A 27,139-nucleotide genomic window follows, 5' to 3' on the forward strand; every position below is an offset into this window, starting at 1 on the left:
GAGCACAGTTTTAAAACTCTAGAACCAGAAGAACTTGGGATTCTTCTTGGCTATGACATTCTATTACACAGATAAAAGAAATTGCCTTGTGACCTAATGTTATATATCTTCTGATTCAACCAAGTGAAAATGTGGCTTCAGAGGAGGTGACAAAGTGTGACCATACCCAAAGGTAATAAGAAGGAATTACAGCTCCAACAGCCTGACTTCTGCACCTGCCTCAGTCATAGACATGCCCTAAATACAAAAATATCTCACAAACCTGAGAAAATTGCATTCATAGTATAAATATATTTAATGAAAAAATAATAAGTGGGCTGTGGAGTTTCCGGATTTATTATTTTCATAACCATCTTTGCTTTCTGTAATCTCTAGACTGATTAATAAAATCTTGCTAAAAGAGGTTCATATTTGGCATTTGCTCAGAGAATGGGAGTTTTTTCAACTTTATTGAAGCATTTTTTACATGTAATATGTCATCTATTTCAAGTGTGCAATTTAATGATTTTTAGTAAATTTACCAAGTGTGCCTCTACTACCACAAATCAGTTTTAGGACATTGTCATTGCCCCCATAAGATCTGGCTTGGGATGGTTTTGTATATTTATATCTATATGAGATTCTTGGAAAAACTCAGGTTCAAAAGAAATAGATTGCATAAAAATTGAGCTCTAGTTTACATAGTCTAATATCCTACCATTTTCCTGTATGTACAGAGTCCACTGCCCTAGAAGAAGAAAGGGAGAAAGTTGTCTCAGCTCTTGTTTGTTCTTTCAAGGCATTTAAAATAATATACATTACATTAAATTTATTGAGCTTTCCCACTGTCGGGCCAAAAAAGAACTCTGAAAGCAAATCAGGCACAGTTACTAAGCTCAAGGAGCAACCAATTTAGAAAAAGAAATTTGATATACACAACAGAGTCATAAAATAGGGCAGGAAATACCAGGAGTCTACAGAAAGTAAGAGAAATTGCTGATGAGTTCACTTATAGCTGAGGGGAATCAAGGATAATTTTTAGAGAAAGGGCATTTGCACTGGGCCAAATTTCATCTAATTCTGTCATTTACTGATGCAGTTAGTCAATATACAGTCACTGAGAACCACTTTAGAATTCACATCTGTGCTTGAATTAGGCATGGTCCCTGTCCTCACACAATGCACAGTCAAACATAATGACTTTATTTCAGCAGCTCACCAGATATCCTGAATATTTCTATTATGAACTTAAATGGTGCAGAATTTTTGTTTGTTCTTGCATTTCTCTTCCCTATTTGATTATGAGCTCATAAAAATAAGAACCACTTCTGAAGCACATCTATGTCCTTGGTTCCCAGTATTTCCTATCTCATTACATGTGATTCATAAATATTTGTTTAATGAATAATTTGTTCATTTAATTTTTCCCCTTTATATCAACTGATGGTTCACTTACTGGTTTTGGGGGAGGGGACAGTAAAGGGGAGAAGGCAAATTATTTAATTCCAATAAAATTGATTGTGTTTTCTTGTATTTGTAATGAGGGCCCAACAGAGGACTTAAGTCAAAAGAGTCAATGAAATAGGCTGTGTATAAAGAGGCTTTTTACAGCAGAGATTAACTTTCAGAATGGTGGTAGAAGGAGCACAGCATACCTTCTTCCCAGCAAAACAACCGTTTAACTGCTAATTTTTTTTTCTTTTTTGAGACGGAGTTTCACTCTTGTTGCCCATGCTGGAGTGCAATGGCGTGATCTCGGCTCACTACAACCTCCGCCTCCCAGGTTCAAGCGATTCTCCTGCCTAAGCTTCCCGAGTAGCTGAGATTACAGGTGTGTGCCATGACACACAGCTAATTTTTTTGTATTATTAGTAGAGACGGAGTTTCACTATGTTGGCCAGGCTAGTCTCAAACTCCTGACCTCAGGTGATCCACCTGCCTCAGCCCCTCAAAGTACTGGGATTATAGGCATGAGCCACCGTGCCCAGCCTAAAAATTATTTTTAAAAACAATCATTTGAAGTCATTTAAAGCCATTTGAACCATGACCTGCTCAAATTCCCACCCTCTAACTCAGTGGGATGGAAGCTGTACTCCAAGAGTATGCCATCAAGAATATTAGTTCCCTCTCTACCTACTTCCTAGTCTATAGCTATGATTTCACCTTGGGAGGGGCAGGCCACAAGCACCTCTCACATAGCCCCCATCCCCATTCTATATTGAAGAAGCTCTATTCAAGGTGGATGCTGCTAAGAAATAAGTCTTCCTTCCCCCACCAGACCTTACTCATAGAATGAAAACTCTAAACCAGGCATGGTAGACCAAGAGTATTAGAAGCCAAATGCCCTCGGCCCAGCTAATTTGCAGGACAGAGGTTTCAGGCCAAGATGGGCAAGACAAGAAGACCAGGGGCTACTGTCCCTACCCAGAGCCTAGCTCATAGAGCAGGGGTGACACTCTAGGAGAAGTGGGCACTGTCCCTGCCCCCAGTTCTAGGGCAGTGGCATAGAGGTTCTGTTCAGGGAGAATGGCAAGCAATAAGAACAAATAACTCCACAACACTGCATAAGGGGATTGAGTTCATTTGGAACAGCTTGTAGTGAAATTTATGCCAAAGGGTAATGTCAAAAACAACAGAGATCCTAGTGTGGCAAGCAAATAAAAGGAAGCTGGTCACTACATGAGATTTATAGCAACAAGTAAAACAACAGACTAGCTAGAAGGTTAGAATAAAGAATTAGGGAGGAAAGATAGCTAAGAAGGACACTTCAGGGGGCAGAGCAGCCTGAAAGACTAGCAATACCTTGCCCCTGCAAAAGGGGTCTATATTAACTGGATCAGACTGTGAAACAATTATTGCCCCTAGAGAAAACAGAACAATCAGCTAGCGATTAATACAGGGTAATAGCTTGATGTGATACCAATAGAGGAAGACCAGCCCAGATGCTCAAGTATGCCCAAGGCAGTTAATGAAAAATAATTATACATCCAATAAGTTCACCAAACTTGAAGTAGGATAAACTCATGGAGATCCACAATCAGGCACATCATAGTCAAAATGATGAAAGCTTAGCACAAAGAGAATATATTGAAACCAGCAAGAGAAAAGTGATTCATCACCTACTAGGGAATTCCAATAAGATTAATAGCTGACTTGTCAGCAGAAACAATAGAGGGCTGAAGAAAGTGAGATGACGTATTCAAAGTGCTGAAAGAACAAATCTGTCAATATGATTCCATCAGGCCAGGACTACTTTGATACCCAAACTAGACAAAGACATTGCCAAAGAAAACCCCTGAATATCAATATCTCTTGTGAATATAAACACAAAAATCCTCAACAAAATCCTACCTGACTGAATCCAGCAACATATAAAAAGGATTATGTACTGTGACCAAATGGGATTTATCCCATGAATGCAAGGTTGGTTTAATATCTGAAAATCAATCAACATAATATACAATTTTAATAAAATAAAGGACAATAACCACATGATCATTTCAATAGACACAGAAAAATCATTTGATACAATCCAACACCCTTTCATGATAAAAATACTCAACAAACTAGAAGAAGAAGAAAACTTACTCAACATGATAAAGGGCATCTATAAAAAGCTCCAAAGCTAATGTCATATTTAATGGTGAAAGACTGGATGCTTTACCTCTAAGATAAGGAACAAGGCAAAGAAGTCTGCTCTTGCCACTTCTATTTAACATTCAACTAAACTATCCATAATGGCCCAGGTAATTAGGTGAGAAAAGAAACAGAAGAATGAAATAAAAGGAAGAAGTAAAAATATATCTACTTGCAGATGATATGATCTTGTGTTTTAATCTTAAGGAATCTAATAAAAAACAATTAGAAATAATAAATGGGTTCAGAAAGGTTGCAGAATGAAAATGCAAAGCTAAATTTGTATTTAAGTCCAAAACAAAATTAAGAAAACAAGCTTATTTACAATAGCCTCAAAAGGATAAAATATGTAGAAATGAATTTAACAAAATAAGTACAAACCTTGCTTATACTGAAATCTATAAAATATTTTTGAAAGACATTAAAGAAGATCTAAATAAAAACATCCCACATTCATGCATCAGAAAATTAAATATTGTTGATATGGCAATATTCTCCACACTAATTTACAGGTTCAGTGCAATAACTATCAAAATCTCATCTGGCTTTTTTGTAGAAATTGATAAGGTGATCCTAAAATTCACATAAAAATGCATGGCACCATGTATAGCCAAAACAATCTTGAAGAAGAAAAAGTTGGAGAGCTGACATTTAATGATTTCAAAACTTACTACAAAGGTACAGTAATGAAGACAGTATTGTACTGGCACAAGGATAGACATATAGATCAATAGAATGTAACTGAAAGTCCAGAAATAAACTCTTACATGTATAGTCAACTGATTTTTGACAAGGGTACCAAGACAATAAAGTGGGGGAAAGAACAATTTTTTCAATAAATAGTTATGGGACAGGCATAAATTGGAACATTTTCTTACACCATCTGCTAAAACTAACTTAAAATGAATCATAAACATCAATGGAAGAGCGAAAATTATAAAGCTCTTAGAAGAAAACATAGGAGTAAATCTTTGTGACCTTTGGCCAGGCAATTGCTTTTTAGATACATGCTATGGACTGAATATTTGTGTCCTCTCAAAATTTGTATGCTGAAATCCTAATCCCCAATGTGATGCTATTAGGAGGTGGGGCCTTTGAGAGGTAATTAGGTCACTGTGGGTGGAACCTTCACGAATGGGTTTAATGCTCTTATGAAAACACACTAGAGACCACGATTTCTCTGTCTCTGCTCTCTGCCATGTGGATATAACAAGACAGCCGACTGAAAACCAGGAAGTGGGCCCTCAACAGACACTGGATCTGCCAGCAACTTGATTTTGGACTTTTAGCCTCCAAAAGTGTGAGAAATACATTTCTGTTGTTTAAGCCAGGGGTCCCCAACCAGGATACTGGTCCCTGGTATGTTAGGAACCAGGTCACAGAGCAGGAGGTGAGTGGCAGGCCAGAGAGCATTACCAGCTGACCTCTGTCTCCTGTCAGATCAGTGGTGGCATTAGATTCTCAAAGGAGTGCGAACCCTATTGTGAACTGTGAAAGGAAGGGATCTAGGTTGTGTGCTCCTTATGAGGATCTAACTAATGCCTGATAATATGAGGTAGAAGTTTCATCCCGAAACCACCCCCACCATGCTGGTCAGTGGAAAATGTCTCTTCCACAAAACTAGTCCCTGGTGCCAAAAAGGTTGGGGACCGTTGGTTTAAGCCACCTAGTCTATGGTATTTTTGTTTTAGCAGCCCTGATTAAGTAGAGGCAAAAAAAAAAAAAAAAAGGAAAAAAAGAAAAAAAATGGATCAATCGGACTTCATCAAAATTTAAAAATTTTATGCTATAAATGATACCATCAAGAAAGTGAAAAGAGGCTGAGTGACGGAGTGTGAATGGAGAAAGGGAAGATGTTGGTCAAAGGGTACAAAGTTTCAGTTAGATAGCAGAAATAAATCTTGGTGGTCTGTTGCATAGCATGGTGATAATAGTTAATAAAAATGTATTACATATTTCAAATTGCTAAAAGAGTAGATTTTCTGTTTCTTTGTCTTTTGAAACAGTTTCACTTTGTCACCCAGGCTGGAGTGCAGTGCAGCAATGACACCTCACTACAGCCTTGACCTCCCAGGCTCAAGCAATTCTCCTGCCTCAGCCCTCCAAGTAGCTGGGACTACAGGTACACAACACCGTGCCTGGCTAAATTTTGTATTTTTTGTAGAGATGGGATTTTGCCATGTTTTAAATGTTCTCACCACCAAGAAGGGTAGATTTTAAATGTTCTCACCACAAAGAAATGATAACTATGTGAGGTGATGGATATGCAAAATAGCCTGATTTGATCATTGTATCTCATAAATATATACAATTACTATTTGTCAATTAAAAATAAAAAGAGAACGTGAAAAGACAACCTACAAGATGGGAGAACATATTTGTAAACCATATATCTGAAAAGGGACTGGGATCCAGAATATACGAATAACTCCTACAATTCAATAATAAAAACACAAAAAATAATCTCAGTTTAAGAATGGGCAAAGGATCTGAATAGCCTTTCTTCAAAAAAAGATATATAGATGGCCAATAAGCACACAAAAAGATACTCAACATCATTAGTCATAAGGGGGAAAAGGAAGTTCTCTGGCAGTGGTGTAGAGGTTAGATTTCATAGGAGAGACTAGAGACAGAGCATCAGTTCCTTCTATAAAGACCCATCTGACATCATACAATCCTTACGCATAGAGCAGTATATAAGACAGATATGGTCCTTGTCCTCATGGAGTTTAAAAATCTTCTAAAGAAAAATGTTGAATGAGTAGTCAGAAGAGTGATAAGTCTGTTAAAAGAGAAATAGAATATATTACAGAAGTACACAACAAAGGCTCTTCAACTAGTCTGAGAAAGGGTACAAGAAAGAATTCCATGAAGAAAAAAATGTTTACATTGGCTTCTGCAAGCAGAATAGGAAGTAATTAGGCAAATGGCAATAGAGAAAGAACATTCCAGGTAGATGGGCCAATGTGTATACAAGTTAGGGAGAAAATCCATGGTCACAGAAAGAACTGTAAGAAGGCCAGTGTGGGTAGACCATAGGCAGCAAGGGAAGTGGGATAGAGATAGGTTGAAGAATCAGGCAGAGACCAGATGATCCAGGACCTTGCAGACCATGTTAAGAATTTGATATTTCATCATATACTACAGAGTGGATGTTCAATGGGTTATTTTCATGGATAGCGAAATCATTGAATATGGTAGCAGTGGTGTAGTAGAAAAGACAAGTATGGATCAAACTCCTCCATGATTCATAGAAATGTCCAAGATGTCAGTAGAAGAGAATGACAAGGAGTGGCAGGGGGTTGTATAGGCTGATGCCATAAAATTCAAAACATGTCTTTTCATATAATCTCTTTTTATAAGGGAGGGGAAATAATGATCTCAAAGCAGCAATCTTCCAACCTAGCTGAGGTGGTGTTCAGTGAAGAGGTTACACTGTATTTGGTCAGGCATCACAGGATCAGTGAAGAGGTGGCACATGGTTAGGAGAACTGGGACATTCTGGTAGCCATTGCAATGCTGAGATATCTGTGTGAGCAGGATAGTGAGCCTGGAAACCTGTTCACCTCATATGTTGTAACCCTTGGCTAAAGAAGCTGTTGTGATTTCCTGGGACATGCTGATAGTTTGAAGTATGGCTATGGCAGCAGAGATGAGGAAGGGACAGATTCTATGGATACTGAGTTGTAGCCTTGATCATACTTGGTGGTAGTATATGAGAATAACTTAAAAGAAGAAGTTAAATAGGACAACTTTCTCATGGGCAGCTGGAGTGATGGCGATGCATTCTCTGAACTAGGGAACCCAGGAATGCAGCAGGTGTGTGGTAGTCTCGGTTGGCTTCTATAGCTTCAGGTAAATCAGACATATGCCTCCTTTATCTAGCAGAGGGAGGACCCAGGGTCACAATTCCCAGCACCTTTGTTCCCAGGCCCTTATTCATCCAGGGTTAAGGTTTGGAATGGATGGGTCTTTTGAATCAGCAGGGTGAACTGGAAGACCCTCAGCTAGATACTGAGATGACATATCTGCCTCCAATTAAGTTGGACTCCTTTTGAAGGCAGTAACAAAAATTATGCCAAGAGAATGGTGACTTGTGAAGTGGCCTGCTGGAAGGGAGCCAAAACCACTACACTTGTTTAATTTAGAGTGTCTGATCAGGACATGGTTTGGTGCAGATGGGAGCCCACGGAACTCTACTGAGAGGTGGATTAGGGGCTGATAATTGATATTACTAACTTCCAAAAATTATTCAATTTAAAATTCATCCAAAAAGATGTAATTACTTTTCATATGTTTGCTTGGTCATGTATCCAGTTGCAACTATATCAAGGCGGAAAAAGAAGAAAGCGGGAAGGAACAGAAAGAACAGAAGGAGACTAGCTTATTTTGAAGTTACCGTGCTGGTCAGAACTGTGCTGGCCCTCTCCACCCTGTTTTCTGTGGAATTGCCTTCTGCTCCTTGACTTTCCTGCCCACAAGGTCATCAGTCCTCTCTCACCTCCTTTCCGACATCCTTGCTTTTCCACAAGAGTCACACAAGGACTGTAGTAGAATCTGCCAAACTCTGTATCTTCAACTCTTCCAGATATCTTTACATTTGCTCAATCTGCTCCTCTTCCTCCTTATCCTGGCTCTCTGGCTTTCTGTGATTATATCATGTTCTCCATTCTCTTTCCTCTGGTTTCATGATTCAGCTTCCTTTTTCCTTTTCTTTTTTTTTTTTTTTACTTCTCAGATTTTTAGTTTGGTTTGGATTCTGAAGATCTTTCAAGACAGGGCTTTCAGAATCTTCCCTATGCTACCTAACCATTCTCACTGTGACTTCAGGTAAAAGGCATCCTAGTCCCACCCTACCCCTGATCTGGGAGCCAAAAGATTGCAGAACTGGGCCAATCCCATGACAAGGGGTTGGAGTTCCAGTGTTGATTCCTATCACCCAGGGGCCTTATTGTAGAGTCCTACCTAACATGATCCTTCCCCAGCAAGCACTCCTTTATCTAAATTTTGCCCTTTGCCATCTGGTTCTTTCTCATTCATCATACCATTAAACTAACCATCAGACAAAATGTTGTACGTGATCCTTATGGACAAGATGGAGAAATGGGGACAGGGATTATATCTTGTTTATTTCTAAATCTCTCATAGTACACAACACATAAGAGATACTAAAAATTTGAACTAAAATGAATTTGATTGGATTAATTTGGAGGAAAGTAAAATCTTGTTTCACATACATGACTTATATTACTGGGGTTAGCAGCATAACCAAACCCAGAGATTGATATAAAACTGATGTAAAAATGCCAATCTAGGGTGAAGTCTCCAGTAATATGCCTAGGTCTCTGTTCTTAGCCTCAGGTCTTGTCCTGTTAAACACTTGCATTCCTGACTTAAATTAATACTTTAAAAGTATTGATATGGTTTGGCTCTGTGTCCCTACCCAACTCTCACCTGGAATTGTAGTTCCCATAATCCCCATGTGTTGTGGGAGGGACCCAGTAGGAGGTAGTTTAATCATGGGGGTGGCTACCCTTATGCTGTTCTCCTGATAGAGAGTGAGTTCTTACGAGGTGTGATGGTTTTATAAGGGGCTTTCCCTCCTTTTGCTGAGCACTTCTCCTTGCTGACACCATGTGAAGAAGGATGTGCTTCCCCTTCTACCATGACTGTAAGTTTCCTGAGGCCTACCAGTCATGCTGAAGTGTGAGTCAATTAAACCTCTTTCCCTTATAAATTACCCAGTCTTGGGTATGTCTTTATTATCAGCGTGAAAATGGGCTAATACAAGTATGTACGCTAAAATTTCTGAGTGAAATTACTAAGCCTGTAGATAAGAGTATCCAAGAATCAAAATTATTACAACAGACTGGAATAAAGGACTAAAATCAACAAGTTGTATTGTATCAGGGTAAGTGTAGAGGCTTTATTTTAAAATCTACCATAAGCTAATATGGTATTCTGAAGAATCCTGGAATAGAAAAATATTAGTGGAAAAACTGGTGAAATCTGAATACAGTTCTGTGTTTTAGTTACTAGTAATGAACCAATGTTAATTTCTTACTTTGGACACATCCTCCATGATTGTGTAAGATATTAACATTAGAGGAAACTGGGTGAAGGTGTTACCAGTGGAAGGTATCCAAGTCACGCAGGTCTACTGCAACCTCAATTCTTGCCTCCTCAGAAGAAAGAATTTGATTGAGGGGCATAAGGCAGAAGGAGAGACCAAGGCCAGATTTAGAGAATGAAAGTTTATTAAAAAGTTTTAGAGCAGGAATGAAAGGAAGAAAAGAAAGTACACTTGGAGGAGCCAAGAGGGTGACTTGAAAGACAAGTGCATGATTTGGCTTTCTGACTCAGGGTTTTATATGTTGACATACTTCTGGGGTCTTGCATTACTTTTCTCCTGATTCTTCCCTGGTGGGCTGTCTGCATGTGCATGCTTGAGCCCACTCACCCACCTCCTGAGATCTTACTGGAAAGCTGTTGATTACCAGTTTCAGGTGTTTTCTATTAGGAGACTGCCTTTCCCTGGCACCAGCTGTGACCAATTATTACTTTAGAGAGACAATTAACAACAGCCTGACTATCACCTGATTGTCACCTGACACTCCTGGGGTGTGTGTGTGTGTGTGTGTAGGTGGGGAGCTCTCTCCTGCCCTGCTCATGCCTGACTAGCTACCTACTGTTACAAAGGGCATATGAACAATTTCTATATTATCTCTCCAACTTTCTATAAACCTAAACTTATTTCAAAATAAGAGGTTTATGCATGTTGTCACTTACAAATGACCGCTAAACACTGGGGTCTCATGGATATAAAGATGGCAACAATAGAAACTGGGGACTAGTAGATGGGAGGAGGGAGTGGGGCAAGGTTTGAAAAACTAACTATTGGATACTATGCTCAGTACCTGGATGATGCCATCAATTGTACTCCAAACCTCAGCATCATGCAATATACCCAGGGAACAAACCTGCATATGTACCTCCTGAATCTAAAAAAACATTGAAAAAAAAACAGAAATAAATTTAAATCAATTTTTTAAATAAGAGGTTTATTAAAAAGAGAATATCAGATAAATAAAAATATATTTATTTAAAGAACAGCAACAAAAAAATCTACTATAGAGAGGCCTGCCTGCCCAAAGAAGCTAATGTAAATTCTGACTTCATTTCTAGAGATCTAACATCCAGAGCAAGATAAGGCAATAGTCCTATTCTGCTGTACATGCTTAGATTCCCTGTGTAGTTTTATATTCAGTGCTAGCATTTTAAGAAGAAAATAACAACCTAGATCATGTCCAAAGAAGAACAACAAAGAAGGTAAAAAGTTTGACACCATGGAGTATAAAGAAATGTTGAATTCTCTGGGGGTAGGAGAAAAGAGAGATTAGTTTGGAGAAGAGAAGACTCATCAAGGGCATGTAGTCAGTGTCTTGATATGATTGTCTTATTTATTTATTTATTTTAAGACAGAGTCTCCCTCTATTGCCAGGCTGGAAAGCAGTGGCACAATTGTAGCCCAACAAAACCTTGAACTCCTGGGCTCAAGCAATCTCTCTGCCTCAGAGAAGCTGGGTCTACAGGCACACACCACCATGCTCAGCTAATTTTTTTTTTTTTTTTTTGTAGTAATGAGGTCTCCCTATATTGCCCAGGCTGGTCTTGAACTCTTGGCCTCAAGCAATGCTCTCAGTTTTTCAGCCTTGTCTTGGTATCTTTATAGGCCTGACTATGAGCTAAAAGAGCAAGAACTTGCAAGGTAGGCCCAGAGGGTGGGGCTAGAATCAAAGAGAGGAAGTCACAGGGAGGGAGCTCTTTTGAGGATAGTGGGTCTTTCTTGTCACTGGGATGGAGCACGGCTGCTGAAGAGGTGTGTGAGCCGAGACTGAAAAGTGAAGTTTCTCGAACGTTAAAAGAAGATGCACATGTACCCTAAAACTTAAAGTATAATAATAAAAAAAGAAAAAAGAAGATGCTGGTTTTTACAGTTTAGGTCTTTGTCCACAGGAGATGATTAATATATTTGCTAAGTTTGAATGAAATCCCTATAATCTTTGGCAGCTCTAGAGATTCTTTTGAAGTGTTAAGATCAGAGAGGCCAATTTCTTAAGGTTTTCTTATGTCATTCCTATTATTATATATGTAGTCTTCGTGGTTTTCCTCCTGGTACTCTTGGCTAACAAAGATCTTTGCCTGTGGGAAGGAAAGCCAGCTAGACAGCGTCTTCTTATCAGGAAGGTAAGCTGCCACCAGCAGGGGAGGCTTAGAGATGTAAGGGTTAAGGGTCACAATGATCATACTGCCTCTTGCTTGGTTCCTAGCTTCCCTCAGGATACAGTCCAAATTCTTTAATTCGGCATTCAAGGCCCTCCTCACTTGGCTTCTACTTATTTCTCCTGCATCCTCTGTCACCACCCTTCCTATTTTTCTTAGGCTGACCCTGTGCTTTTATCACAAGGAGCCATGCAACACTGTCAGGACACACCATAGCATCTCAGCCTCTTTACACATGTTTGATACTCAAGTAAAGATGCCTCCTTCCTTAAGACTTCGTTCACTCCCTTGTGCCCCTTCTCTGCCCACTACTTGTATTATACCAGATCTTACCTTTTTATTCATTTTTACATCTATGTCACCCATTATATTGTGTACTTTTCAGGGACAGAATGTGTTTTGTGTTAATCTTCTCTCCCCAGCATCCAACATAGAGCCTGGCAGGCAGAAGATGCTCACTAGATATTTGTAGTGTTAAAGAACAGCTTTGCAAGGATTCACTAAATAATTATAAAGTTCACATAGACTTGGCTTCAAACTCCAGTTGCATTATGTAGACAAATTACTTAATCTCATTAAATCTCCATCTTAAAAATGCAAATGGGAGAAGACAATACTTACATATCTCAGAATTTAAGTGCTACCTTCTAAATGAAATCTTACTCCCCAAACTGATCCTCTTTCCTGATTTAATTACTCCAATATTGTCTGTCTCTTCCTACCATAATGTAAGTCTCATGAAGACATGAATCTGTTTTCACTGCTGAATCCTCAGAGTCTAGATAATGCTAGTTACATGGTAGGTATTTAATAATAATAATACTCACATAATATTCTTCTGACCAATCTTGAGGCTATACATATGCACATAGGCAACACAATATGAAAGGGAAAGTAAAGCAGACTTGAAAACTGTCCAAAGTTTGAACATACTTCCCTACTCACACACAGATCCACCAGCAGAAGATAGAAGCCTTACTGGCTTAGGGTGGCTGAACATAACCTCAGCCCAATAGTAGCTTACCTTTAACCTGCATAAACACAGGGTTGATTCCCTGGGAATTAAGGCTTAAAATAGGAAAGAAAAAACAAAACTATATAAAACTCAACAATAAGAAAACAAACAACCCAAATAAAAATGAGCCAAAGACCTTAACAGATACTTTACAAAAGAAGATATACAAATGGAAAATAAGCATATGAGAAGATGCTTTACATCATATGTCACTTGGGAAATGCAAATCGAAACAACAATGAGATACAGTACACACCTATTAGAATGGCCAAAATCAAGAACACTGACAACACTACATGCTGGCAAGGATGTGGAGCACAGGTACTCGCATTCATTGCTAACTGGGAATGTAAAATGGTACAGCCACTTTGGAAGACAGTTTGGTGATTTCTTACAAAACTAAGCCTACTCTTACCATACAATCCAGCAACTGGACTCCTTGGAATTTACCCAAAGGAGCTGAAAATGTATGCCCACATGAAAACCTGAATGCTGATGTTTACAGCAGCTTTATCATAACTGCCAAAACCTAAAAGCAACTAAGATATCCTTCAATAGGTAGATAAGTAAACTGTATTATATCCAGACAATGGACTCTTATTCAGTGCTAAAAAATGAGCTATCATGTCATGAAAAGATATGGAGTAAACTTAAGTGCATGTCACGAAGCGAAAGAAGCCAATCTGAAAAGGCTATACAAATTTCAACTATATGGCATTCTAGAAAAGACAAAACTATGGGGACATTAAAAAGATCAGTGGTTGACAGGGGTTATGGGAAGGGAAGGATGAATAGGTGAGGTACAGATGATTTTTGGAACAATGAAACTAATCTGTATATATTAAAATGGTGGACACAGGCCATTATAAATTTGTCCACACCCATAGAATGTACAACACCCAGAGTGAACTCTAAGGTAAATGATGGAATCTGGGTGTTAATGATGTGTCAACGTAAGTTCATCAATTGTAACAAATGTAGCACTCTGGTGAAAGATTGTTAATAACAGGAGAGGCTATGCATGTGTAGGGGAAGGAAGTATATTGAGAAATTTCTGTACCTTCCTCTCAATTTTGCTGTGAAACTAAAACCGTTCTAAAAAAGAAAAGAGTATATTAAAAACAAACAAACAACAAACAAACTGAGCAGAGGCATCAGAGAAAGTTGCCAAGATAATTCCTGAGTAAAGATTAGTCTTTTCAACAAGCGGTGCTGGAAAAATTTGTTATCATGTGCAAATAAATGAACTTCGGCCCTTACTTTATTCCACATAAAAAACTAACTCACAATGAACTATACACTTAAATGTAGGCTACATATATAAATATTTCAGAAGAATAACATAAAAGCAAATCATTGTGGCCTTCTGTTAGACAAGAGTTCTTAGATATGAGAAGATGCTCCACAGCATATGTCTTCTGGAAATTAAAACTGAAACAACAATGAAATACAATTACACACTTATTAGATTGGCCAAAATCAAAAACACTGACAACACTAAATGCTGGCAAGGATTTGGTGCACAGGTACTGCCATTCATAATAGCACCAAAAGCATAATCCATTAAAAATTTGATAAATTGGACTTCAAATTTAAAGTTTTTATTCTTCAAAAGATAGATTAAGAGAATGAGTGAAAAGACAGGCATGGTTTGGAGGAAAATATTTGCAAAACATATATCTGACAAAAGACTTGTGTTAGAATATATAAAGAACTCTTAAAACTCTTATGAGAACCCAGTTTTAAAAATGGGCAAATGATTTGAACTGACACTTCACCAAAGAAGATTTATGAATGGCAAGTAAGCACATGAGAAAATGATCAATATAATTAGTCATAAGGGCAATACAAATTAAAACCATAAGGAGATATACCCACTAAAAGGCTATAATAAAAATTACAGATAATTCTAAGTGTTGGCTAGCATCTGGGAAAACTGTAACCCTCCTACATGGCTGATAAGGATATAAAATGACACTACTATTTGGAACACAGTTTGACAGTTTATCTTTTAAAAGTTGAACAATAACATATTTCCTAATGATTTCACTCCAAGAAAAATGTATTCATATGTCCACTCAAAGATAAGTACATGAATGATCATAGCAGCATTATTCATAATAAGTCCAAACCGAAATCCATCCAAATGTCCTTGAACTGGAGAATAGGTAAACAAAATGTGGTATACCTTTCAATGGAATACTATTCAGTACTAAAAATGAACTACTGATACATGCTATAATATTTTTGAGGTTCATCCATATTACGGTGCTAAGTGAAAAATGCAAGACGCATAAGATTCTGTTTTGAAATGTTCAGAAATGGCAAATTTATGGTGTCAGCAGATCGGCAGTTACCTGCGACTGGGACTGGAAGTGAGAATTAACAAGGGAACTTTTTGAGATGATGGAAATGTTCTAAAATCAAATTGTGGTAATAGTTACACAACTCTATAAAAATCATAAGGTACTAAAAATCATAAAATTATCCCCTTACAATGCATAAATTTTATACACTGCAAATTATACCTCAATAAAGCTATTAAAACAATAGTAAAAATATCTTTCTCATGATGTCCTTATCTTAAATGGCAGATCACGGTTTTAAATACATGTTCAAAGGGGTTTTGTTCAGTAGGTTTAAAAGGGGCTACTGGTAACAAAATAAAATGCATTCTTGGATGATATAATTAGTACCAGTAACAACTATGGCCATAGTGATTGATAGTTCTAGCACTAAAAATTCAAAATCTTCCTTCCTGCCTGCTCTCCCTGAGATCTAGATGCTGGCATGTTTAGCCTTCCCACTTGTAATTATCCTCCCTTCGAATTGGAATAAGGATTAACTAATTATACTGATGCCTTCAGACACAAGCCATATCAAATACCCTGGTAACTGAGAATCAACTTGTCTGCAAAAGTATGCCAGAAAGCCTTAAAATCTCTAGTACCTTCATCAAGGTCCAGAACAGAGGATTGAGCCAACCCACAGAGCTTCCCTGATCTAGTCCAGATGGCACAGGTACACCCTGTACTTCCATTAAATTTACTTTCTTAAAATGCTGCTTTGGATAAGGTAAATCCCTTTCTCAAAAATCTTTTTGGGTGTTAAACTGTCCATCAAAGGGCCAGGACATGGTGTTAGAAACCATGGTTTTAAATCTTGGCCCTGATATGAACTAGTCATGTGGTCTTAACGAAGAAACTTATTTTTTATCCTCAGATTATTTACCCCCAAACTGGGACAGTTCTGCCTACTCTACAAAACTATTGTGAGAAAAAAACCAAATAGTCTATATAAAGTAAGAAACCCGGTATGTGTGTTGTGTTGAATCTGAATAAAGGATGCAGCCAATATGAAAATCAGGGCTTTCCAGAGTTTTGCCCGAATCTTCTTGTCTAGCCTAATCTTCCAGTAGCCCCATGAATTTCCTATTCCAATCACACCAGACTTCTAACCAACTACCACCATCAGGCAATGGCTCTGGCTTTTCTTGCTTTCTGGGCTACCTTATTATCAACTCTGTATTCTGTAATCCCACCCATCTTTCAAGATGGCTTAAAAGCAAAATCTTAGCTTTTAAAGACATTCTCCATGATGTTTATTTTTATTATTAACTTCTTAAAAAACTCATTCTATCCTTAATTATATATGTTTTAAAGTATCAGAGCTATTTTGAGATGTCCTTTTTCCCCTGGTACAGAATATACTTCTGGAAGTATATCAAGACTTGTATATATACCTTGTATATATACAAGTACACAGTGCCTCTCACAGGCTCTGAAGTAGGACAGGAGTTTCAAACTATTACTTTTTCCAACTGAGGAATTCCTCGAGGATAATTTGAAAACTTTTATTCAAGTCTAATTTTCTGACTTTATAGGTGAAAAAAATTATCCCCAGAAAGGGAACATAGAATTCAAGGTAATACAAGTAGTTTCATGTTAGAGCTGAAAGCAGAATTCAGATATCCTGTGGCAGCGACTTTAAGCTGTCCCTCAATATCAATTCTCCCACATAGTTAGAGGACCACCAATTTTTAGCTAAAACTTGGCTACTCAGAACAAAGACTTCATTTCTTTTCCTTCCTTTAGTTAAATGTGGATGAGTTCTAGTAAATGACAGTGCCACAGAACTGCTTCTTCTTTCTCCACCGTCTCCTTCATCCTGCTGCATGGAATACAGATACGATGGTAGAATTCCATATTGAATCATGAGGTTGAGGGCCACATCCCAAGGATGACAGAGAAGAAAGCTAGAAGAACCTGACTCTTTGAGGCTTTCAAGGAGTAGAGTCATAAAATTAGTTGTGGATTGCCTACATTTAGACTTTTACATTGAAAAGAAATAAACGTCTATCATGTTTAAGTTGTAATTTTATATATGTTATTTTGAATATCTATTATTGAAAGCTTAACTGATCCTATTGTTTTTCTTATTAGCTTTTTATTGTTTTCAGCTCTTCACACTGCTTCCAGACATGTTCTTAATTCATTTTTTCATTGTTTCAATCATTCACTCAATAAACATTCATTGTGCACCTACATTCTGCCTAGTCATAAATCTAAGAGAAGGTTGGGGTGGGCACAGGAGTGAAATGTACAGATCCTGCCTTAAATGTTATGAGTAATGAATGAACTTCCCATTCTCTTAAAAAAGATCGCAATTCATATGTCTGGTAAATATTCATCTCAGAATTTTTCTGACAATTCCTTCTCAAATAAGCTCACTGTTCAGTAATATACTGTTAATTGGACCAGGTGCACTTAATGTATTATATTTGTTCCTCTGCATCCACTCTCCACCTTTCTATATCTTTTTATTTTCCCTGGGAGGATGATCTGTATGAATCACATAAATGGGCTCCTTTGTTCTCTGGATTCTGGTTGTGTTGGCCAATATGGACTCCTAGAAGGAGATCAGATGTAAGTAAGAGAATGAGGTCTGTATATTTATTTTTCTCACCACTCTCTATGGGATTATCTTAGGCTAACTGTGTACCTTAACTGAAGGTCACCAATTCTTTCTGAGATGACCCACTAAATGACTCTCTACTATTGTGTTCTGTTAACCTTCCTTCCCTTTATTCCCTTTGAGCTGTTATTAGCCCTAGAGAATTTCACTGTACTTTGTCATTGCATACATTGCCCACACCTTGTAAATAACCCATTTATTAAACCTTCCTTAAATTATCCTAATTTGAGGCTGCCATCTGTTTCCTGCTAGCATGCTGACTCATATACCATGTATACCAATTATCAATTCAAAATATATAGGCAACAGATACAAATGGGAAGATACCATGAGAAGCACTGTTGGGAAGAAGGTTGGAGTAGAGAAAAGATATTTAGCTATGAAATCATAGTGCACACAGAATCTCAGACTACAAGAATAACATGACCAGATTTGTCTCTCAGTACCTGAGTTGCACATAGGCCCTCTTTACTGCTCTCTTTTTTGAGGTATCCTGGATTTATTTAGAAATGCGTCTCACTTTTATGTGAAACTCACAGTCACTAGGCTGAGTCCATTTAACTAGCAACACATATCAGAACCCCAAGTAAAGTATCTTCTGCCAATTTCACCAGTATCCTCATTTAGAATGTTTAGAGCCTGTCCAATAAGCCTCTTTTAGGGGCACAATCCACACTTTTTGAAGAGTAAAACATAAAACCAAATTAGCACCTGCTTATTCTTTATTAGCAACCAAAGTATTGCTGACAACAAAGAGTAAAACCTATGAATCCACTATGAAGAACAACTTCAGATCCTAGTTTGGGCACAAGAGGAAGAGAGGGAAGTAGGAAGAGGCAGGGTACGGTGGCTCACATCTGTAATCCCAGCACTTTGGGAGGCCGAGGCGGGTGGATCGCCTGAGGTCAGGAGTTTGAGACCAGCCTGGCCAACATGGTGAAACACTGTCTAATAAAAATACAAAAATTAGCTGGGTGTGGTGGCTGTAATCCCAGCTACTCGGGAGGCTGAGGCAGGAGAATTGCTTGAACCTGGGAGGCAGAGGTTGCAGTGAGCTGTGAGCCAAGATCTTGCCACTGCACTCCAGCCTGGGTGACAGAGCAAGACTCCATCTCAAAAAAAAAAAGGAAGTAGGAAGATGTGGTAGGCAAAATGATGCAACACTCCCCAACCCAAGATGTCTAACTCCTAATCCCCAGAACCTGTCACTGTGTTACCTCACATAACAAACGGGACTTCACAGATATGATTAAGATAAAGATCTTGCTATATGGAGATTAACCTGGATTATCTGGGTAAATCCACTGTAAGCACAGGGATCCTTATAAGTGAAAGAGAGCTCATATCAAAGTGATACAGCATGAAAAAGACTCAACCAGCCACTGATAGCTCTCAAGATGGAAGGGAACTACAAACTAAGAAATGCAAGCAGCCTCTAGAAGCTGGAAAAGGCAGGGAAATAAATTCTCCCTTAAAGCCTCCAAAAGAAATGCAGATCTGCTGATACCTTGACTTTAACCTAGTGAGACTCATTTTGTATTTCTAGCCCCTGGAATTATAAGATAATAATTTTGTGTTGTTTTGTACTACCATATTTGTGGTAGTTTGTCACATCAGCAATAGGGAACAATTATGGAATAGGAGACTGAAATCTCTAGACCCAGGAAACTAAACCTGGAGCAGGAAAAAACAGTCAGGAACTGATGGATGACAGAGACAGGGCACATTGTGGCCATCACAACCAAACTGCACACCACTTGCTAACCTGTACTGCAGGCAAGTTTGGTTCACTAAGAAATGTATTCTTCCTATCAGAGGCTCACAGTAATAAAATGCTTTCATACCTTTTGTAACACCTAGCAAAAGTCTCCTTTTCTCTCAGAGGTTTTGGGATTCACTTAAATTTTGTATTTTGCTAGAGAGCTTTATCAGCTTCATTCAGAAAAACAACCATCTGTCTCATATCTTATTCTGTGACTTCCTGGTGCCCACAGTCGCAATAAATCACACAATAAAAACAATACTTTAAAGAATTGTTAAATTAATACTAATTATATAATTGTTTAATTGTAGTTAGTAAATTATTAAAAGTTCTGGAAAGCACCAGTATTCATTATTTGCATTGCATAAAAACCCGTGTTAAGTCCCTATCCCAAGTTTGCCTGTTTCCAAATGAGTAACCCAAACCTGGCACAGGCCTTACCACACTCTGGCCCAGCTGCTCCCGAAAGAAGTAATCCATGTTTCTCTTTTGCAGGCTGTCAAGGTAATGTTGGAAGCGAGTGTATGTATATGGGTAGCAGTAAGCAAACTGGTAAATATCTTCTTCTCGGTCAAAACAAAAGGCAAAGGACATCACATAGTTCTTCCTATGGTCCGGGCAGCGGTAGTAGTAAACATTTTTGGGTGGCAGCCTTTGCCTAAAATATATAAACAAAGAAATTTGGGCATATGAGACATTCGTTCAAGCTTCAAAAGGTAATACATATAAATCAATGCCTGGAGAAAAACTGTAACATCAAGAACCATGGGTGATGGGGCTGGGAGAATGACAACACAAACCACATATTGTTTAAAACAGACCTGAATCTGGCAGCTCTTTGCTCACAATCCAGTGCCACCCTTTCTCAACTGTCTGGAAAATGCAAAGTTAAACAAAAATAGACACATTCTATTCACTTGTTTATCCTTATTTTGAGCACTTAACATATGTGGCATCAAATGCCCAGGCCTTGATGTACAATAATAAATAAGACAAGGAAGATCTCTGTCCTCATGGATAATAGTGGGGAAGCGGTCAGTAAAATATTAAAAATAAGTAGACAATATAATTACAGATTCTAAAAGTGCCTTGAAGGTAAATAAAGACTGTGATGCTATAGAGATATAAATGGGAGAGGCCTACTTTTCCTGGGGAAGTCAAGTTTTTTAAATTATAAGACTAATTAAGAACTTTTAAAATAAACTCATATGCATTGTATATATTCAAGGAAAGGGAAATATTCAACATTTCTCTAAATTATTACTATTATTTTCTACAGAGCATTCCATGAGACTAATTTTCCACAGAAGCACTTTGGGAAATAGTGCTTTAAAATATGCTGTGTGGGCAATTTTGCTAAGCTAAACACTGAGATGCAAACAGGAAACAAAAATGTTGCAGTCATAGTTTCCATAATGTCTTTGCATTTACCCACTTTAAAGAGTTACTCTACCCTCTCATTATTTATGATATCCAACCTCTTCACAATGTTTCCCTGCAGTGAATGTCTCTCATTTCTATCATTTCAAATCCTGCTAATCCTGCAAAACTCATCTAAAACTGTGCCCTTTCCATGATACTAACTACATGGACAATTCCAGGCCAGTTCAGCTCCACATTTTGTGTAACTCTTGCTTTTTTATCAATTGCTTAATAAGTCTTAACCACCAAGGTTGATTTGGAAGATCCTTAAAGGAAGGGATGCTCCTGGGGAGTGCAGATACAGTGGATGAAGGATGTAAGGCTCACCTGTAGTGGCTTGGCATTCAATTGAGAAGCCAAAGACTACAGGGGCATATGAAGACAAATGTGAGGAGGAAGGTTTAGGAGGGGAAATTGAGAAAAACAAGAAGGGTGCTGTCTCCAGGTAGAACAACCTGGAGAAAACTGTTAACAGATAGAACAGAGCATTATAACATACTAGTGTTTGTTGCAGAATCTTGTTTCTACCTTAGTGTCTTTCTGAAGCTAAGTGGCCAGGGTGGGAGGTGTGGCTGTGGGATTCCTTTGGAACAGCAGTGGTTACATGGCATTGATGCCTGTACATACATTTGATTATATTAAATTTAATTAAATATTCTGGTATTTGATTATATTAGAAAAAGTGACTAAAATGATGGGCCATGGGGTCTAAGGTGGGTAAGAATCTGAAAGTGCTGAGGAGAAAGACAGGATGATAGATATGCAGTCTAAGCAACAAAGAAACAGAGCTTTCACATAAAAGTCAGAGGTAGTATCAAAGGTTGTTTAAAGGTGTTTGGCCCACCAATAGAGTCCATTTGCCTCCTACTCCCAAAGCTACTGCCCATAAATACATAAATAACAGTCTTCTTATAATGGAAATATATCTTCAAGACAAATCTTATAGGCACTCCTTCTTCTAACTAGATTGCTACCCTAAATTCTGGAGTTATCAGTGATGAGGTAGAGAAATGATGGCTTGGAAGTTGCATGAGGAGTGAGGAGGAAAATGACCCCTCCTGATCCTTCTGTACATGCAGTATAGAAGAATGAGGATTTCTTGAGAGGGCAATTGGGGTAGTAATGTCCTCCAAGAGGGTCAGGCCTCAGTTCATTGTTTTATTTAGCAAATATTTAAGCATCATAGACTTTTAACCAAGTCTAGTTTGGTTAAAACAAGGGGTAAAGGAAGAAGTGAACTTAAAGACTGAGGATCCAAGTGGGATTATTAACCATGGAGCTGAGTACCAGAGGAAAAAGTGGAAGATGAAGAGGTCTGAAGAGGGAGAGGGAAGGAAGCAGTGAAGAGTCAAGATTAGAGAAAGAACAGACCAGTGCAAGGATGTGGGTATGGAGAGAATACATGATGATCTACATTTGTGATGGTATTGAAGATGCAGTTAAGTGAGGCAGGCTGGTGGCATACACGAGTCCCAGGGTTCCCGATTTGTATTTGGGGAGAATGTCTGTGAAAATGGCCTTGATGTTTCCAGCCAAAGGTCTGTGATAGTCACTTCAGGCTCTGACTTGACGGTCTGAGTTTGAGTCTCTTAGAGCCCTGGATGAGTATGTCTTCATTCACGAGTGGTTCCTACAGTCATAAGGTCTCAGATTATGATGCTGTTTTCAGCTTTTTATTTACCAGTATATCCAACCAGGGTATATGCTTTCAATTCTGTGACCACAGTTTTCTCCTCTTCCAGCCAAGTTCTGCAACTTGACTCTGAGAGCCTGCTGTCTCCACTGAATTTGATTATGTGCTATCAGGAGAATCCATCTACTGCCTGCAGCTGTCGAGCTCCTCTCCTGGGTGAGCCGGGATGCCTAACCTGATTAGCAGACAAAGTAGAGCTAATGGGCTCTAGGGCAATCATTCAGGGAAACTGAGATGCTGTTCAGGGCTTAGATTTTCTAGACTTTCCCAAGGATACAAACAGAAATCTATTTGAGGAGGGCTCAGCAGGCAAAATTCAAGACTTTCAAGTAATGCAAAGAATAAAGCAAAGGGGGCTGAAACTAGGGAGGAAAAAACGTCTCCTTCATTTGGGATGTACTTCTTATTTTTCTCTTATTTTGTTTATTATGTCTCAGACATTGTGTTAAGTGTTTTATATGCATTATGATTTGATCCTCATAATAACCTTATGAGCTAGGGGCTGTTATCCCTTTACATAGATAAAAAAATTTGAAGCCAAGAGAGGAAAAAAAAAAAAGATTCCCTGAGGTCACAAGATCAGTGAGCAGCAGATCCTGTATTAAGCCTAGGCCAGTGTGGCTCAAAAGCCTGTATTCATAATCCCTACAGTATCTTTCCACTCCCCTTTTCCCCTTGCCATCCAACTTACAGCCTTACCTTCTACTTCCAGAAAAACCTGATTTTATAGTACTCTCTTGCTAAAAACCTTTTAAGCAACTTCCTATCCTCACATTTCAGTTTGGCCCACAAGGCTTCCTGTGATGGCCTTGTGATTCCAGCATCATCATCCATTTCACCCTCCTTGAAACCTTTGCTTTGTTTATATTCAACTACTCATAACTCCCTAACACAATTTTGTGCCATACCTTCAATATCTCTATGTTTTGTGCTCGATCTTTCCTCTACCTGGTCTGCCTTCCCCACCATCTTGCATACTTGGTGAATTCCTACTGATAGATGAGGCATATAGTCAATTGTCAACAAAGGTTTAAATATTTCTTAAATGAACAAATCAATGTATAACTGACTACCCTTTAACACAGCTCTTCTCTAAAGCCTTCCCTGACTATTGAGTCTTCCTTATTTTTCTCTACTTTAAAAAATTATATAAAAAGATTTTTATCATCTAGTTTGTCTCTTAACAATGAACAATAAAAGTAAATGGATATTTGGATATTTCTTCAAAGAGTAGGCTTCTTGAAAATATAAACTGTGTTACTTCTTTACCTCTAGTCATGGCATAGAGCGGTCTCAAGCAATACTTATTTATGTAAAAAGCAATGAAAAAAAGGGAAAAAACCTTCTTATCCCAGAATAACATTGGTAGGTATCACAAGAAGGCAGATTCTAGTTCAGTATAAAGTAGAGACTCTTTAACATTCAGCTGAAGAGAAAGTAGAGAGGGCTGCCTTACAGAGAAAATACAAGTATTAGAAGCTTTAGGGGATAAAGATCCTGTACTTGATGTTAGGTTAGACAAGGCAGACTTCTGATTCCATTTAACACAGATAGTCTATGATATCCATGGAAAAATAAAATAATAATAATAATTATTATAGTACTATTTCCTAATATCTATATAGCATGGACCATATGCTAGGCCATTCTAAGTACTTTATAATGTATTTTCTTTATTCCTCTCAACAATCCTCTGAAGTTATTCATATTATATCAATGGTATGGAAATAAAGGTAGAGTCAAGGACCTTTATGCTTATGCAGGTTGTTCACGACTCCCCAGAAGACCCCAGAAAGAAAATGGCACAACACTCGATCCTGCCAGACACCCAGGAAGATTTCAGGTCCTGTAGTGTGTGCTTTCAAGACCTGGGGACTAAAGGCTGATCCAGCTCTTGGAATAAGGCCTTGTCCTGAGTTCAGCATCCTGAGGACATCCACATGAATGAGGGAGGTCTGTAACTCACATCCTCAGATTCAGTCATGCATGACTGAATGTTCTGAGTAAGCACACACACACACGCACTCTCTCATGCATGTACACACTCAACACATTCACGAACATACTCTATTATAACTTCTATCTCATTACATCAGTTTAAACATATTCCTTTCTCCACTATGAGATTGAGCTCTCCTGGATGGCAGGTAGTACATATTGTTCATCTCTAGTTCTCCGGGACCTATACAAAGGCTTATAGATGAAGTGCCAAGAACACTTATGAATGGATAAATGTTTGTGAATAAATAATGTCAGCTCCACTAATATATATATACATTGTACTCTCTCTAGTGAAACTTTAAGTCATGCCCTGAATATATCATATTCTCAAAAACCTCCTTGCCTTTTTAAATGCTATTCCTTGCCTTTTTAAATGCTATTCCTTGCCTTTTTAAATGCTATTCCCATTCTTTTCTACACAGTGCATCTCTGTATAGAGAAGTGAGGCCTAGCTCAAATGATAGTTCCTCTTTGAAGTCTTTGTCAACAACTTCAGGATGAATTAACTGCTCTAAATACTAATTGCAGACACTGCTGTTTTTCTGATTTACCTCAAAATCCTCAGCATTAGTACAATACTTGGCCTTAAAGAGGAGCTCAACGTATTTTGTTAAATGACTAAGTTGACTTATGAGTGAATGAGTGATTCCCCTCCCACCTATCCTCTCTACTTTCTGTTGAGACCTCTCAGCTAAATTCCCAAAGCATCATTTTGGAGGTTACCAGAACATAAGGAAGAAGAGAAGTCCCAGACCTAATGCAGTACATAAGTTTCTCTAAAACAGCAGCATTCTCTGGTCCTCCTCAGGAGCCTTGAAAGACAGGAGCCCTAATTTCCTCTCTAATCAAGCAGAGAAATACAGATGGGAATAAAGGTGTTTCAACCCTAGTAGACACAAGCATTTTTCTTCAAATTAGCAGAAAGGGACATAATAAAAAATCATTCTTTCCAGGTTGTAAGTCTTAAAAAAGGTGTGCAAAACAAGGGGATCACAAAGTCACTCAGATATCCCCAAAGGAAGTAGCAAATTTTAAGCACCTTCTGAATCTCAATAGCTTGCTATCCGTTTGATGCACACTACTGTCTGAATGCTAAGCACATATTCTTCCCACCATTCCAAGGCTGTGCTACCTCAGATTTATCCAACAACGGCAGTTATAGTCTCTTGGTTCTCTTACTTCATCTACTCAGGGGCTGAAAGCAAACTGGCATGTAGTTTCTCAGGCATATTTGAAATTGAGGTAAGATTTCATTCCTTTTCCCTTCGTGAGGGCAGCTGAATCTCTCATTTGTCATCTATGCCAACACATGGCCTTTAGTCTACATTTGGCTGGAACAACCAAGGCTATCACCTAGCTTGAGCCATTTGCCCCCCTCCTTTTCCTCTTTGATGTCTGGCATAGCCAGGGACCTTGGATGGATACCCATTTTCTAAATGCACCCTCCCTAGGCAAACAGGACCTATTCTAATTCCAATCCTATCTTCCACCAAATAATTATAATAGTACTCCTGTCACCAGCACATCTATTCTTATCTCTCTCCGCACTTTGTCACAGCTAATCTCTTGGTGAGTCACAGGGAGAGGGAGAAAGAGTAAGAGAGTGCTCAGATACAGGCAACACATTTTTACACCCAGTGTCTAATCAGATTATCATCTTATCAGGGGCTGATGGGCACTCAGGGTGGGAGGAGAGAGACAGTGCTACATATTGCCAGCTGAATTTTTGATAACAAAAAGACATTGCTCGATTCTTGAATTAACCTTTTTGTCCTACACACTGTATTATTTATTTTTCAGAGTTTATATTATATGTAGGGATTTTTTTTTTTTTTTTTGGTCTGTGCCTTCTGGAGAAGGACACCCACACACTGTGGCAGCAGCTGCTTCTATTAATTCCAAGCCATTAAAAAAATTAAAAATAAACCCAATTACTTAGGCTTGTTTGGAGCTGAGGAATAGCTGAGACTGATTATTCCCCCTGGTCATGGACAGCAACAATATTCCTACCTATGGTGGCTGCTGGCAGAATGCCAATGCAGACAGAAACTCCAGGGACAGGCACCCCATGCAATGAGAGGCTATAAATCACATACTCTATCTTCTCCAATCCAGATTCCTGACAGGCAGCAAGAAGAGAAGACTGAACAAGGAGCTAGGAGTTGGATTCTAGTCCAAGCTCTTGGTATATTCTTCCCCCGTGCCTCTGTATAAAATGTGGTTACTAAAAAGCATCCTGTATCCTTCTTAGGGTTGTTGTGAAACTCTTAGGTGAAAAGGACTGTGTTTTCAAAACTGTCATTTGCTGGGGTATGGGATGGTACATGAGGCAGTATTAGAATTCTGGGTGCTTTGGGATTATTAGGTGGTAGAC

At 38.4% G+C, this 27,139-nt stretch overlaps 1 protein-coding gene and 1 long non-coding RNA gene across 12 annotated transcripts in view; one reads left to right on the plus strand and one right to left on the minus strand.

The window, feature by feature from the left end:
• Nucleotides 1-27,139, minus strand: part of AGBL4 (AGBL carboxypeptidase 4) — a 1,501,444-nt gene that overhangs the window by 502,983 nt on the left and 971,322 nt on the right. For all 10 annotated transcript variants that reach the window (NR_136623.2, XM_017002595.3, NM_001323575.2 and 7 more), the window contains one exon: nucleotides 20,091-20,307. Coding sequence is in view for 9 of the 10 variants with exons in the window: in XM_017002595.3 (XP_016858084.1) it covers nucleotides 20,091-20,307 (217 nt within the window). In the remaining variant the exon portion in view is untranslated. The remainder of the gene's footprint in view (nucleotides 1-20,090; nucleotides 20,308-27,139) is intronic.
• Nucleotides 102-24,614, plus strand: LOC105378706 (uncharacterized). Of its 2 annotated transcripts, none has more exons than XR_947309.3 (3): nucleotides 102-172; nucleotides 22,814-22,920; nucleotides 24,528-24,614. It is a non-coding gene; the product is annotated as an uncharacterized LOC105378706 (long non-coding RNA). The 2 variants fall into 2 exon arrangements; XR_001738042.2 differs by lacking the exon at nucleotides 102-172 and adding an exon at nucleotides 5,697-5,737.

Source organism: Homo sapiens, chromosome 1, assembly GCF_000001405.40.
Source record: "Homo sapiens chromosome 1, GRCh38.p14 Primary Assembly".
NCBI lineage: Eukaryota > Metazoa > Chordata > Mammalia > Primates > Hominidae > Homo > Homo sapiens.